The 17,156-nt window shown below is 42.5% G+C and overlaps 1 protein-coding gene across 1 annotated transcript in view, besides 1 other annotated feature; it reads right to left on the minus strand.

Annotated features, from left to right (window-relative positions):
* Window positions 1-17,156, minus strand: part of IRF2 (interferon regulatory factor 2) — an 86,822-nt gene that overhangs the window by 66,165 nt on the left and 3,501 nt on the right. The window lies entirely within an intron of this gene.
* Window positions 3,917-3,976: an enhancer, noted in NCBI's record as "active region_22220". NCBI's record gives its function as "activates an Ori minimal core promoter by ATAC-STARR-seq in GM12878 lymphoblastoid cells {active_cell/tissue: GM12878}" and the evidence as "EXISTENCE:reporter gene assay evidence [ECO:0000049][PMID:35858748]".

Below are 17,156 nucleotides of genomic sequence, written 5' to 3' on the forward strand. Positions count from 1 at the left end.
GAGATGTCAATGTGGTCAGTATTTGTGAAAAGTCAAATAACAGAAACTCAAAGAGCCAGCATACTGGAACTGGAACCTAAGAAAACCTATTTGCATAGAGCAACAAAATTGCTGCTTTCTGACTTCAATCACATCACTAGCAGACTACCTTGAAAACCAACGCCTTCCCAAAAACCAGTTGCCTGAAAATAACCTGTTCTGAAAGGTTGATTTGAAGGGCACTATCTTTTCCCCTGGATGAGAGTAAATGATTTCCTCCCACACTCCACATCCACAGGCTGGCCCTCAGGATCTGCTTCTTGCTGCCACTTTTCCTTTGAGGATTTCCTTTAAGCTGTCCCCTCTGCCAGGGAGCTCTCCATAAAGGTTACCAGCTATTCTTGGTGTTATTATTATTAATTATTATGGAGACATCCAATTTAACTCTTTATGTTCAAATCTGGTCAAGCTCCAGCACACAAACTATAAACTTACGCACTACAGTTTCCGCTAGTTTGATTCTATTCCTGGGATAAACCATCCCAATTACCAATGAATTCCAACTGGAAAAAGAGCCAAAATTGCTACCACTCTAAGTACAGGAATACCTCCGAAGCAAGAATCCATGTCTCCTCTGCAAGCTGCAGAACTGTCTTCAAATATTTTTGGAAGATACCTACTGCCTCTCACCAGTTTCCGAATGGTAGCCAGAGGTGGGAGGGTCGGATCTGGCATCCATTGGATGGTCACTATTTCCCCTCTCTGCCAACCCCTCCCAGGACCACAATGATTTCTTTTCTTTCCCTCTCCTTGTTAAAGCATAATATGGTAGTGGGAGCTCAGATTTGGCGTCAAGCACACCTGAACTGGAACCTCACCACTCACAACCTTCAACTTCGCCAAGCCATAGTTTCCTCATCACTAAACAGAGATCTTAATAGCAACTTAGCAGAGCTACCGTGAGAAGAAACAGATAAAGGCTAGTTTATGTTAGGAGGAAAAGTATGAGGTGAGATTTCCTTGGTCTCCCCTAAGACTTCCCCAAAGAAATTCCAAACAGTAGGGCCCGTGCTCCACCTAACTGCAGTGACTAAGTCAGTGTTCCACAAGGAGCAAGACGATGTCCAGGGTCCACCTTCTGTAATAGAAGCATATTCTCCACCCTGCACATTCTTGGCCAGATTAATCTCCCCAAATGGCTCCTGACCTTGCAGAAAATCCTTCCATGGTTCCACAACGCCCATTGAATAAAATCTGGACTCCTGGCCACCATAATTCATCCCCATCCCACCTTTCTAACCTCTTGTTCCCACTGATTCCCTCCACCTTCTTCTTCTAACCTCTTATCCCACTGATTCCTTTCTTCTTCCTCCCCTCCCCTCCCCCTTCCCTCCCTCTCCCTCCCCTCCCCCTCCCTTCCTTCTTCTTCTTTTTTTTTTTTTTTTTTTTTTTGTAGAGAAAGGCGTCTCCCCATGTTGCCCAGGCTGGTCTCAACCTCCTGGCCTCAAGTGATCCTCCCATCTCAGCCTCCCAAAGCGCTGGGATTACAGGCATGAGCCACCGCACTCAGCCTCCTTCCACCTTCTGATGCAACCAAAGCTTACAGCTTCAGGTACTTGGCAACGGGCTTATCTCTGTATAAAGTCCTGTGAGGAGGAGTCCCATCTCACTCATCCCAAAATACCGAGCACAGTAGCTTGCACATAATGACATGTAGTAATCACTCATTGATAAGAAAGTGGATGAATCCCTCCTGGAAAACTCACTGAGGGCAAGGGCTGAGGAGGATAAGGCGGATGATATTAACTATACGTTGTGATGGATAAACTTATGAACAAATGATAAGCAAAGGAAATAAAATGACTACAAAAAGCATGCAACCTAAAAAAAAATTTTACTATTTACATGCCATTTTCCGGGTGAATCCGGCTAAGGATGTTAATACACTTTTGAATTACGTTGGTTCAACTTTTCATTCCAAAAACCTTACCCCGAGCCAACCGCATGAAAATCGCTGTGTGCCAAGCATTATCTAAAGCTCTGTGGAGTATACAAAGATGATGAAGACATGATCTCTGGCCTCAAAGGACTTACCCTGCAAAGACGAAGGTGGGCACGTCAGTGTTAAAGCAAGCTTTCAAGCAAGACGTGGTGTCCCGGAGGTGAGACTCGAAGCCTGCCAGGAAGAGCACACCGGAGTGGGTGCCTGCCCTGCGGCCGCACACCCACCATCACTGATCACACTGATCACGGGCGTCTGACACACTGGGTTCGAGTTCCCTCTCTGCATCAGACTCACCCCCATTAGTTCATTCGCCTCACAAAAATGTGACTCTGCACTTCAAATAGATGAATTTTTTTCAAAGGCCTATGGGGAAGTTTTAATATTTTATGTAAAAACCCAGAAGAGAGGACTCTGGAAGGCTTCCTAGAAGAGGGGGCATCTGAACTGGGCCTGGAAGCCAAGGGATCCTCAGGTGGAAGGGAAGAAAGAACATTCCCAACAAAAGGAAGAACAACGACAAGGGCAAGAGAGGGGTGGCGCCCGCGTGTCCGAGCCATTGGTGATACGAAGAAGCTGCGCCACGGGGAACGTGAGAGCCGCGGTGGAGAAACTGCTGGAAGGTTTCCCTGAAGCTGCGAGTTCAGAGTCAGCCATGTGTCCTCGCACCTCAGCGAGGGTCCCTGCCGACTGAGCGGAGGAAACCCCTCGGTCCAGCCAGGGCACACACCCGGCTGACGCGCTTTCCTGCGGCCCGGTCCGCCCTCCCTACCGGGAAACCGGGTGCCTGAGCCCAGGGGCACCAATGTCCTGCAGGCGCCTCTGTGTCTGGACAGCAAATAACAATTGGAGGACCAAGTCAGTCACTGCAACTGAATTCAGCCAACACGTACTGAGGGTACCGAGTCTACGCGAGTCCTGTGGCTCGGCCCTCCACAACATACAACCGGTTCAAACACGGCAGTTAGTGATAATACAGTGGAGACGGTGAAATACTGAAATAAACCACAGGAATATCTAGGCCTTTGAATAACATCTTCCAATTTATCGCCCCAGGGAAGTGAAGAGTCCGGCAAACATCCAGTCAATGCCATCAAGGCAGCCGGTCACCCCAGCTGTGAGGGCCTCGGCACCTGATGGCCACATCTCCCCAAACACTCTGTAGCTGCGTCGGATGAAGAGTGTGAGGTGGTTTGGTTAACACATGATACAGGTGGAATAATGCCTCCCAAGTATCCCACACGCTAGCCTCTGCGACCTGTGAATAGACTGTGTTATGTGACAAATGGGAATTAAGGAGGCAGGTGATTTAAAGGTTGTCTGTTGACCTTGACAGAGGGGAATTTTCCTGGATCATCCATGTGGTCCCAATGCAGGGAAGAAGCCTCAATATGGCACGGGCAGCTCTGGGGCTCCCTCCAGTTCCTGAGTCCCACTGGCTAAGGTTTGCACCTGAGGTGTTCGCCCAGCCCTTCTGTGGCCCGGCGTGACGTCACTCGGAAGACCTGGGGACACTCTGGGCGGATAGGAAGCCCTGTCCTAACTTCTGCCCTATGAAGGCATTGTTTCTGGGGGTCTTGCCATTATCCTTGATTCTCTAACTTGGGTTTCTTACCTGAATTTGAGCCAACTGTCTTTAATTCCTCCTCACTTGAGGATTATAAACTTACTATAATCACTCTCTTTACAAACCAATTCAAAACAAACAAAAGAGAGTACAAAAAATATTTTTGTACCTATTCATCATTTCCTCTTAGAAACTTATATAAAAGCACCTCAAAGACAGGCCTGGCTATTATCAAAGGCACAACCCAGTCCTTCCCGCAATGGACCGCAGACTACAAATGCACACGCCTCAGAGCTCCTCTCCAACGCTGCAGGTGCACAGCTGCGACACGCCCTGCTGCTAACAGTCATTAGCTATCATTTTCTGAAATGCACAGGGGAAAATGTTCCAAATCCTCAAAAACCTTCCAAAAAAAAAAGAAAAAAGCTGGCTGTATCCTCGGAACAAAACCCTTCCTTACTGGGAAACAGGAACACATGCACTGAGTGAGATATTTGTGGCCACCAGGAACTGGCTCTGACACTCCCTCCTTCATCTGTTTGTTCCAGCCACCCTGGAGAGTGGTCCATGCACCAGGAACGGAAGAAACTGTCAACCCTTCATGTCTTTGCTCTTGCTGTTCTTTCAACCAAAAATGCCCTGCTCACCCACTGGCCACCAGATGACATTGCCTCCCTCCTTCCGGCCAGTCAGAAGTCAGTGGTGAGGCACGCCCCAGTTTCTCTGGTCAAAGACGTAATTCTTAGTTCATGATGGGTAGCTCCAGTAAATTAAAAAGAATAAAAAGAAGATACTGCTTCTTCCTCTTCTCTCCCTTAGCCTTTGGCTTGCTGTGCTTCCATGAAGCCCATCTTTCGTTCTTTTCATGACCAGGAATGGTTATTTACCTGCTTGTCTCTCTAACCAAATGATAAGCTCTTTGAGAGCATGGATCTGAAATTTTCAACCTTACATCTTCGCAGCATAGGGCTTCACACACAGCTGTTCAAAATTGTCTGCTGAAGGAATGACTTCCTCTGAGGGTTTTATTTAAGATATTTGTTTGTAGAAGAGAGTCTTCAATTTAATTTCATCATTATCATGTTTGTTTTCACAGTACTTAAAACTAATTTTAAGGATTTTTAAAATCGTTGCCCCAAGCCTGAAGAGAATAAAAATTTTTGCAACTCCTCTTACCACTCTGCTTCACAACACATATATTATTTCTCTGTTTCTCACATATATTATGCATCTTCTTCCAATTATTTACAACTCAGTTATAATCCACACATGACCTTGCCAGGCTATAGTTTTCAATAAAGTTCAACTCTTCAAAAGGATTCAGCAAAACGAAAAATTTCCGCAGGACATAAAACTAAACCAACAATGAATTTGCTTCCATACAGTTGTGATATTTCACTGAATTTCTTTATCTACTATGGCTCTTGTAAGAACAAATGAATGGCTTCTCCTGCTGTCAACAATTCACAATAAATACACAAATGCTTTTATCCATTTTACTTAACAGATCTGTTATTACGGCAATATTTTTTTTTCATCCACTCAGTAATACTATTGAACCATGATTGAATGGATTATATTTAAATTCTTAAGTCCCCAAATGTTACTCTGAGGCTGTTTTTACTAATCTTTATCCTGAAATACCACAGAAGTGAAGAACTCTAAGGCTTTTTTCATGAGTCCCAAGCAGACAGAGCAGCCGCAATGATAAATTCACTACCATATCCGAGTCCCAAGCAGAGAGGCTACCACAAGGGCAGCCGCGAGGATAAATCCACTACCATATTCAAGCACTGCTATTTCTCCTCTCACAAGACATTTCTGGATTCAAAATACAACAGAAAAAAAATAATTATTTACTGCACAGTTCAACAAAACATACTAAGTACTTAACCTGGCTACAATACACTGAGCAGGTTACTTGATTTCTCCAGCTGAAAAAATGAAGGGAAGGGGCAGGCAATCGTTGCTACAGAAACTCCCAATTCCAGCATGGTGCGAGATTCTATCTGATTCTCACTTACCCATGCGCTCTGATTTACTTCACTCCAGCCTAAGTTAATTCCTCAAAGTGTGCTTCATCAGCTTCACAGCATCTCAAAATTCTAAAACAGAACTTTTTGCCACATGCTACATATACTGTAATGGGGAGAAGCTTAGTTTTTCAGACTTACTAGTGTGTCATTTTCAAAACCACAAAATGAATGACTCAAACCTACAGCTCAACAACAACAAAATCAAAAATGAAGAAAGCCCTTGAATAGACATTCCTCCTAAGAAGATATACAAATGGCTAGGAGCACATGAAGTGATGCTCAGCATCATTAATTACCAGGGAAATGCAAATCAAAACCATCGTGAGCTACCACTTCATACCTATTAGGGTGGCCCTATCAAAACAAAAAGATAATAATAACAAATGTTGGTAAAAGGTGTGGAGAAGCTGGAACCGGTGTGCATTGCTGATGGGGATGCAAAATGGTACAGCTATGGAAAACAATTTGGTGGTTCTTCAAATGTTAAACATAGGATTACCGTATGACCCAGCCATTCTACAGAATTGAAATAACTGAAAGCAGGGACTCAAACAGATACTTTTATACCAATGATCACAGCAGCCTTATTCACAATAGCCAAATTAATAAGAATCCCAGTATCTACCAACAGATGAATGGACGAACACAATCTAGGAATATTACTCAGTCTTACAGAGGAATGAAGCTCTGATGCATGCTACAACATGGGTGGACCTGGAAAACATTCTGCTAAGCAAAATAAGCCAGACACAAAAAGACAAAGACTGTATGATTCCACTTACATGAGACATCTCGAGTGGTCAGATTCACAGACAGAAAGTAGAATGCTGGCTGCCAGGGGCTGCGGGAAGCAGTTATTGTTTAATGGGTATAGAGATTCTGATCCAGATACTGAAAAAGTTCTGGAGATGGATGGTGGTGATGCTTAGGCAACCTTGTGAATGTAATTAACGTCACCAAATTATACACTTTAAGATGATTGTAATGGTAAATTTTGTTTTGTAAATTTTACCACAGTTTTAAAAAGAATGCTTCAACATGCATTTATGAATTCCCTACTTGCTGCCACTGTTTCCTTCAGTGCTTTTATGGATGATAATTATTCCTTAATTTCAGGCAACTTAAAGTATTCACTATAGCCAAACACACACACACGCATGCACGCACACACACACACACATGCACGCGCACACACACACACATGCACGCACACACACACATGCACACGCACACACACACACGCGAAGAGAGAAAAGGAAGCATTTTCAAAATGAAGTAAGGACCAGTTTCCCCTTCAAGGCAATGTCTTCTCAAGCCCTGTGAGGAGAGGGTACTAAATGATATCTAAAGTAGGACCTACGTAGAAAAAGAGCTACATAAAATCCCTTTTAGATCGACGTGGGGAAGCAAACAAAGGAACTTACAAATACACTCTATTAGGCTGTTATTTTAAATAAGCAACAGTAACTCTAGAGCACTAATGGGAAGCCTTAAAAAAACCTTTTTATTTTGAAATTATTTCCAATCCACATAAAAATTTCAAAAATAGTGCCAAGAGTTCCTGGATATCTTTCATCAGCTTCCTTCACTTTACCGCGGGGGGCAGGAGTACTGATTCTGCAGCTCTGCTGGTTACAGTGTCTCCCCACAAGGGAAGGGTAAGTAGAGAGGGGAGATAATTATCAGGATTTAACCCCATCAGTTTTCCTTAATGACACCAGACCATAGTTCCATGTTCCAAACTAAATGTGGGAGAATTGTGGAAAAACAGAAAGAACAACAAAACAATATGTTGTTCTATGCCTATTTTACAATCTATTAAGAGTCTGTTTTAAAAAAAATAAAATGTATACACTTGGCAAAAAAATCTGTCACATTAGCACTGCGGCTTCCCCTACAATCTGAAACAACCCCACAGGGCCCATGGAAGAACTATAAAAGGGATTCACAGATAAGTAAAATCGTTTCTGGAACTGTCATCTTACTTGCCTAATTGTGTTTTCTCTATCTGGAAGAATTAGGCTCCTAACTGTAAGGAATGCAGACCATCTACCTACCTGGCTACCTCAAATCGAAGATAATTTTCTTTCGTTTTATACCTCCCTCTACATATCGTTAGCACTGAATAAACACCTGCTAAATAAATGACTGAATGGATGAATGATCAAAATAGTCAACGGTTTCAGCTGAGCACTCTCCTCTACCCGCCCCCCCACCGCCCCCCAACCCCCAACCCCCATCTCCCAAACTGCGAGGACTTTCAAGAAAAACAAAAATCGCAATGCATTAAAAGCACCTGTAAGTTAAGTAAATCCTCTCCTGTAACATTTTCAATTCACCCTGACTTCACCAATAGTCAGGATGACCACACCCAAAAGTGGAAAAAATGGGTCAGCTACATTCCCTACAGGGACCTTCCTCGCAGGCTTCCCAAGTTTCCACCCGCCTACAATGGAGAGAAGAAAGAGGAGCAGCAGTCCTGCCCCACATCCCCAGGTGTCCAGCCTCCGTCTGCCTTCTAGGGCCTTACCTTCAAAGGTCAGCTAAACAGTGTGTATGAGTTAAGTTTTCCCATATGAACAAAAATCCCAGCATCCTAAGAAAGAGCCAATAGAGATTTACCTTCAGGACTATTATTTTAAAGTGAGATTACACTTTGCTGTTCTTCTGTCAGTTGCAAATCCCCAAACCTACTAGAATTCACTTAAAACTAATCTACAGTGTTTTCATTGGAAGAAAGCAATCAGGAAAGCTCTGAGCCACTGAGCAGCTGGGAATTTCGCTGCTGAAGGTTTGGTTTAGTCTTTATTTTTCTAGCTGCTGGCCCTGCTAACATGATTCCATGAAGGTCGCATTTAATCTTGCAGAGAAAAGCTACCTAAGCAGTTCTTAGGTAGTCTTCAGTAAAAATAAATTGCCTTGGCTCTCTGGATAAGTCTGTTGCTTCAACCCAACAATTACAGTCAAAGAGAACAAATGAAGGCAACTGTAAAATACTATACTTGATTTCAAAAGAATTTCATCGCCTAGATGTTGTGGGCTGTGTTTGTTAATAACAAAGTTATTGTTAACAAAGAACCCATGGAAAAAGTAGCAGCTTCCAAATGTTTATCTTCAGGTCATCACCAAATATAGCTTATTTATCCCTACAAGAAAGTATTAGGATCATCATTGGAACTTAAACATCAAAAGAAGAAACTGATAATATTTTTTAAAGGTCTGGATACAAAGGAGAAAAACCGAACAATTTTTCACCTTCTGGGTGTGGAACCCCTAATACAAAGTAACAAATCCTAATGCAAAGTGACAAATCCTAATGTTTATGTGTTCAATTCATATACCATTAGGTTTCTAGTACAAACTAGATCTGTGCCACCCTTCCTGAGCTGGAATTCAGCCTTTCAAGCTAACCTTTGCTTTACAGCTGAAAATCAAATAAACTAATATTTATCTAGGTCTTAAAGGTGTCAAACACCGGTGAGGAATGCAAATAAATCGGACTGGATCCTGGCTCTCAAATAACTTACCACATAGGTGATACAAATGGAAAAATTCAAATAATCTAAGATTTTCATAACAGTTCAAGAGTCTAGAATGAAACATTCATCTCATCAAGATGCAGATAGCTAACTACCCTAGGAATGGGATGTAGAGTATGCTGCTTCTATAGAAATTCAGAGCATTTCATTGTTTTAGGCTGAAGAGATCAGGTATGGTTTGTGGGGAGAGCCACAGGGAGATTCATACAGTTATGACCAAAATAACCACTCCAACTCTACTTTCCTTCAGTCCTTTCAGGACTGTACTACAACTTTCCCCTGTATTGTCTTCACACCTTGATTGATTTCCTTATGCTGCACCAACCAAGATGGTAGCCACCAGCCACATGGGTCTACCATGCCCTTGGAATGTGGCTGGGCTGAATTAAGACGTGCTATAGGTGCAAAGGACACATTGGATTTTAAATACTCAGTATGAAAAATGGATACAAAATATCTCATTAGTATTTTTACATTAACGACATACTGAAATATTTTAGATAAAATTAGTTAAATGAGATATATTATTACAATTAATTTTACCTACTTCTTTTTACTTTTCTAAGTGGCTACTAGAAAATTAAAACTATACATGTGGCTCACATTATATTTGTATTGGACAATATCGTGCATATATATATATTTTTTTTTTGATGGGCTGTGGTACGGCATTCAGCCTCTGAACTCATAATGGTCATGCCCAATCCTACTTCCGTAGCAATCCAAAAACGTCTCCATGTTCATAAAGAGAGTGAAACTATTCTAATATTTTTTCAGATAAAAATTGGAGATTTGAGGTCTTCAGTTTGAAAAGTCAGAGGTCACACTCTGATTAAGCTCTACTGTCATTCTCCAACAGGGGTCTGGTAAAGGCAGGTGTGAGGGGAAAATACAACTTCTCAGGCTTCTTTCCAGACTCCTATAAAATGCCTTCACCTCCTAACACACAGAAATGAATAGAATATAAAGGGAAAAAATGTATAGGACACGAAGATAGGGAATGCATATGATGCGAAGATAGGGACCGTTTATGACATGAAGATAGGGACCGTATAGGACATGAAGATAGGGAATGTATTGGACATGAAGATAGACAATGTACAGCATATGAAGACAGCGACCATTTAGGACATGATGATAGGGAATGTATAGGATAGGAAGATATGAAGATAGGGAATGTACAGGACATGAAGATGGGGACTATATAGGATATGAAGATGGGGACTGTTAAGAAATGAAGATAGGGAATGTATAGGATATGAAGATGGAGACTGTTCAGGACATGAAGATAAGGAATGTATAGGGTATGAAGATGGGGACCATAAAAGGTCTGAAGATAGGACCATATATGACATGAAGGTAGGGAATGTATAGGATAGGGAATGTATGGGATATGAATATAGGAGCCATATAGGATATGAAAATAGCGACTGTATAGCATATGAAGATAGGGAATGTACAGGACATGAAGATAGGGACTATACAGGACATGAAGACAGGGAATGTTCACTCTCACTTCCCCTACAAACATTTTATACTTCACTTACCATGAGAATTAGATCTGTAGCCATTTGTGTACATTAAATGCTCTTTTCCAAAAGGATAATAAAACCTCTAATCTCCTCAAGAGGACCAAATAATTTCACCTTGGTTCCCAAGGTGCTGGGAAGACGTATCTCCCTAGGCATGTGTATTTCAAAAAGCATGAAAAACAGACCTTGGAGACATCCCCAGGTTACAAGTGTCTCACATTCTGAAAGGTTAGGATAAGACCCCTGGAACCTTTTCATCCCATGTCAGGGGAGCTAAGGTGTTTGTCTGTTTGGTTTTCCTTTTTCTTCTTCTTTTTTTTTTCTCTCTCTCTCCTTTTGGGACGGGAGAGGGACAGCTGCTCTGTCCCTGTCAACAAAGTGTAGCCCACATGTACATTCCATTAGTTTTCAGTGTCACCTAAGGGTCAAGGTTTAGGGGCCTGACACAATAGTGTCACTCAGGCTGTTGCCCCAGTTGTAAATATCAACAAGGAACTCTTTTCTCCTACCCAGGGGTTTTGTGTTTCTGCAGTATTCATATGTATAAAGAATGTTAACTGTGAAGTGAAATCATATCTCAAGCCCTTCACAGTTACTGACAAAACATTATGTCCCAACCTCACCAAAAAGCCACCAATCTAAGTGTCTCCAAGTAGCCACAGCTGTCTGAGGACAAAGGCTTCCAAGAGCCTGGCCAGGAAAGCCCTGGCTCTAGAGCCTGCTCCACACATGGAGGCAGAAAGGCTCGAGAATGGCCCCGTCCATGCACAGCCTCCTCCTCGGCAGCACCCAGTGTGTTTTTCCTAACCTTACGTGGACCAGAGGTGAGGGCAGAGATGACATATTAGCACTCTCTTGAGAATATTTTTCTGGTTAAAAGGGTAATTGGTAATTGTGCTTGCTGTTTTAAATTTGGAAAATACAAAAATGTTTCAAGAAGGAAAAAAAAAGCCAAACACCCACAATTTCACCATCAAAAAGATATGTTTTCTTCCAGGTTTTTAAAAATACCCCAATATACACATATGTTTTAAAAATAAAACTAGAAGCACAATTTCATATCCTTTTTTCCCCACCCAATCAGCATAGATCATAAATATTTTCCCATCACTAAACGCTGCTCGAAAACACGAGCTTTATAAGCTACCTATAGTCTGTCTGGATGTGCCGTAATTCGTTCAAATGTGTCTCTATTGTTGGATATTTAGCTTGTTTCCAAGTTTTTACATAACAAAAGCTAATTCAATAAACATCCGTGTACATACATCTTTGTTCCCATCTCTGGTTACTTCACGTAAGTAGGTTCCAAGAAGCAGAATTTCTGGAACAGAGAGCTTAACATTTTTAAGACTTTAAGTATATAGCACCAAGGTAAATTCCAGAAAGTTTATTTCAATGTAGAATCCTGACTACAGTCACTGTGGAGTACTCAGTGCCCCACTCAGTGACCCACACTACCCACTTATGGAATTCATAGTTCAGTTTTAACTTGTCCCATCTGGTTGTTTTTTGTTTTTTGTTTTTTTTTTGAGATGAAGTCTCACGCTTGTCACCCAAGCTGGTGCGATCTCGGCTCACTGCAACCTCCGCCGCCTGGGTTCAAGCGATTCTCCTGCCTCAGCCTCCCGAGTAGCTGGGACTACAGGTGCCCGCCACCATGCCCAGCTAATTTTTGTATTTTTAGTAGAGACGGGGTTTCACCATGTTGGCCAGGCTGATCTTGAACTCCTGACCTCAGGAAATCCGCCCGCCTCGGCCTCCCAAAGTGCTGGGATTACAGGCGTGAGCCACCGCGCACGGCCAATCCCATCTGTTCTTTAGGAAAACACATTATCAGCCCATTCTATTTCCCTGATTCCATATTTACCTCCCACAATCTCAATAGCACAATTACATTGATTTATCATTACAAATTACAAATATGAATGCATTAAATTATTACATGTGCCCTGAAAATACATACATCTATTATGTATTATTTCAAGAGTTTAAAAATAAAATAAAACAGTACCAAGGAAGATCAGTACGGGGGGAGAAGGCCTAAGAGAGCTATTACCGTATTTCCGTGGTTGCCTCCAAAGGCAATTTTAGATTGAGTTTGGGGCCTCACATAGTGAGTATCAGTTTCCCCATCCCCAAACAATGCATCAACATCAGCACACTTATACATTCTGAGAAATGCACCATTAAGCAATTTTGTCATTGTGTGAACATCACAGAGTGTACTTACACAAACCTACATGGTATAACCTCCTACACACCCAGGTTTATGGTATGGCCTATGGCTTCCAGGCTGCAAACATGTACTGCAGGTTACTGTACTGAGGACCGTAGGCCACTGTAGCACAATGGCAAGTATCTGTGTATCTAAACATAGCAAAAGGTAAAAGTATGATATTATCATCTTATGGGGCCACAGTCATGTGTATGGCCCATTGATGACCTAAACGTTGTGATGCAGCAACATCACTGTACCCTAAGGTGACTTCAGCCATGTCCAAGTGACAACTACTCACAACTTCATGTTTCCTGGTGGTATAATGTCAGCAGCTGCCTAGCAGTTTTCCCATCAGCCTTTCTCATCCCCAGGATAAAAGGATCTGATCCCACAGTCAGCAGTGGAGGGTCCTCCAGTCTTTCAACTGGTCCTTGAGTTATCACTAATTGCCTAACCAACTTCACCTCACCCCTCCGATCTCTAAAACTCTTTCAGTGACATTTATGCAAAGACAGAAAATCTCCCTGCCTGATTGTCTCTTCACTCTCTCCCATTCAAGAATCCAGGAGTCACTAGTCACCTATTTTCCTTCTCATCACCCCATCCCCCAACTCTCACTTTCCACCAGCCTCCCATTGCTATCCTTTCACCCGACACACCCATCATATCTAGGTGTTAAGACACTCTTATCACCACTGTAATTTTTCTCATCTTTTCCAATAGATCTAGGGTAAAAAGGACAAAAGAATTCTTTCAAAAATAACATGGTAGATATTACTTGAAATAAAGCAATTTGTATGCAGTCCCTCCTCATCTGAAAGGTCAATCTCATGAAATGGGAAAATTGGTAGGATTCTAAGCTTAGGGGGCCAGGACAGCGTATTCTGTCTACAGAGTACTTCTTTGGATCTTCCCAAAATCTGACATTCATAAGAACAATTAAAATGTACACTCAATAAGAACAAATTAAAGTGTATACTCATCTCTCCTTTGATGGCATTAGGTGTGCGAGTATCAAATGCCTTCAGCAGATAGCAACAGTGTTAAGTATGCCCAAATGAAATTATTTATGAAAATCACACAGCAAGTAGTTAATTCTCAAAAATCGTCATTTAATGAAAACAGGACAGGCTTTTATCACACAAAATCCTAAATTAAGGTATTTTGCTGAACTAAATTAGTCTTGCCTTTGGGATAAAAATACTTAGAATCCATCATCAGAAGGAACCTCACACACCTGCTTCTCATCTGCAGCCATTCTTTGTCAACTCCGCTCTTTCTTGCTTATCAGAAGGGAATACTAAACTGATAAAGGAGTTATAAACCAAAATAGAAACAAAACAAAACCAAACGCCTAATTCTCCATGGCCTTCCTGGACAAAGAGACAAATACATAAAATAAAATAAAGTCCTTCTTGCCTCTTCAAAATGGAAAACTGGGCTGGGCGCGGTGGCTCACACCTGTAATCCGAATACTTTGGGAGGCTGAGGCGGGCAGATCACCTGAGGTCAGGAGTTCGAGACCAGCCGGCCAACATGGCGAAACCTCATCTCTACTAAAAATACAAAAATTAGCCCGGCGTGGTGGCATATGCCTGTAATCCCAGCTACTCGGGAGGCTGAGGCAGAAGAATCACTTTAACCCAGGAGGCGGAGGTTGCAGTGAGCCGAGATCACACCACTGCCCTCCAGCCCAGGAGACAAGATCGAGACTCTTTCTCAAAAAAGAAAAAAAAAGGAAAATTCAATGTATCACAAACTTAACATGAGTCCCATTTCTGTATGGCAAGCAAGGGCAAGTGGGCAGAGCCAACAGAGTGACCACAGGCCCCTGTCCGAAGTGCTTTTTAAAATGTGGAAAGAGGTTTCATCTGAGCCAAGGAAAAGATCAACTATTTGGCCCTGGGAAGAGATCCTCGATTCAGTGGCTTTCCATTTCTACTCTGGCCACACACCTGAGGGAGGCTGGGGAGCAGGGATCCAATGGTGAATAAGAGGCTCGCTATCAAGGCAGGAAGGGGAAGGAAGGGAAAGGGGGCTACAGATAGTCTCAAATCTAAAAGGTCCCGTGTAATTTCTAAAAGTCCCCTCCCCAGGTGATTTTCACAACACACACAGGTTCTGTCTCCTGAGGATGACAGAATTATCCAGCCACATTTTACAGTGAAAACTTCCAAAGGAGGAAGTGATTGGAGAACTAAAAGGCCACTCTAGGCATCTGAGTTCATGCACCTTCCACCGCAGAGCCTTGTACACAGCTGGCTGTCAAGAAATATTTAATAAACAAATGAAATAATAACACAATGTGTGCATTTAAGAAAACCATTGCATGTGTTACTACATTTAACAAAATCAATTATTCATTTAAAATAATTGCATGGGGTCCCTGGATCCCCAAGCAGACCAAGTTATTGATGGAGGGTCCCGGCTAGTTTCAGTGCCTCAGAAAGCCTAACGGGATGGTGAGTTTCTCTCACACGGAGCCGGCCAGCCTGTCCAACACACCACGGGTCTCTACCTTTGGCTATAATGAGTTCAGTGAGATTTGATGATACCAGTTTTCTCAAGGCAATCAGGAGTTCTGACTGGAAGTCATATGTGTTTCTGAGGAATAAAAATGGGCACTAGGGCCGGGTGCAGTGGCTCACGCCTATAATCCCAGCACTTTGGGATGCTGAGGAGGGAGGATCATTTGAGGCCAAGGGTTTGAGACCAGTCTGGGCAACATAGCGAGACCCCGTCTCTACACAAAAATGTATGTCGGGCTTTGGGGTGGCACATGCCTGTTGTCCCAGCTACTCAGGAGACTGAGGCAGGAGGATCACTTGTGCCCAGGAGTTTGAGCCTGTAGTGAGCTATGATCGAGCCACCGCACTCCAGCCTGGTGGACAGAGTGAGACTTTGACTCTAATAAAAGAAAAAGGATACATGAAGTCTACTTAAATAAACACAATTTGTTTCAGAGACAGTTTGTCATAAGATGGAGCTTCTGAGGGGGAAAATTATTTTTAGGGGATCTTTGAAGGTCAATGCCAAGACTTCAGGCCTGCTGCTTGCTCTGAATCCAACGAGCCTCAGACGGAGTCCCAGGGACAAAGGGGACCTGTGAGCTGTGTTTCCTGCTTGTGTGTTTTCCTTGGTACTCTATAAAAAATACTGTCTTCATGTTCAAATCTGGACCCTATATGTTATTCATCATTCTTTGTTCTTTGTTGATAAATTAAAGTTTGATGGAACTTCCTCACCCACTTTTCCATCAGTCACTCCCGCCACCAGAGCCACTCCTCAATTCAGCACACTGTGCATGAAGCTGGCATCGTGCACCGACCACTGATTACACTCAGGCCAAACACAGGGGGCCGACGGGGCAGGCAGAGACCGAAGGTCCTGACCTCCTACCCCTGTGCAGGAAGGAACATCATGTCTCATACAGATGAAAAGAAGAACTAATTTTTACTAATAATAACTGACATTTCACCGCAGTTTCGTTTATTTGCATATATTACGTATTGTAATATATGTTATAAATATATGCTATCAGTTAATATTTACTTTCATGTATGTTGTCACATATACAGTGTTGGGCACACAGTAAGCATTCAATAAATGCACATGAGCCAAGATGGTAAAGCAGGCCGGCGCAGTGGCTCATGCCTGTAATCCCAGAACTTCAGAAGGCTGAGGTGGGCAGATCACCTGAGGTCAGGAGTTCGAGACAAGCCTGGCCAGCATGCTGAAACCCCGTCTCTACTAAAAATACAAAAATTAGCCAGGCATGGTAGCGCACGCCTGCGCACACCTGTAGTCCCAACTACTCGGGAAGCTGAAGCACAGGAATTGCTTGAACCTGGAAGCAGAGGTTGCGGTGAGCTGAAAGTGTGCCACTGTACACCAGTCTGGGCAACAGAGCAAGACTCTGCCTCAAAAAAAAAAAAAAAGAAAAGAAAAAAAAGGTGGTAAAAGCAAAATACTACAATCAGCCCAGTGCACACCTGCAATGACAGATAATGAAGAAGTTGACACGAGAGTGAAGAAGATTCAGACTAAAGCACAGAGAGGCTTGGGAAGATTTTCTTATCTGACATAAAGAGGGAAAATACATTGGTCCAATCACTGTTATTTCCATATCATTTGGTCTCCATGGATACCACCTAACTTTCCTTCTGACAGGAAAAAATTCACTGACAATATCGGATTCCACTGTGAAATTTTTTTGATACTTTATATAAAAGTTATTCCATGTTTAATCTTTTATCATTATTTATATATGCTCAGAAGTAAAA

This window comes from Homo sapiens, chromosome 4 (assembly GCF_000001405.40).
Source record: "Homo sapiens chromosome 4, GRCh38.p14 Primary Assembly".
Classification (NCBI taxonomy): Eukaryota; Metazoa; Chordata; class Mammalia; order Primates; family Hominidae; genus Homo; species Homo sapiens.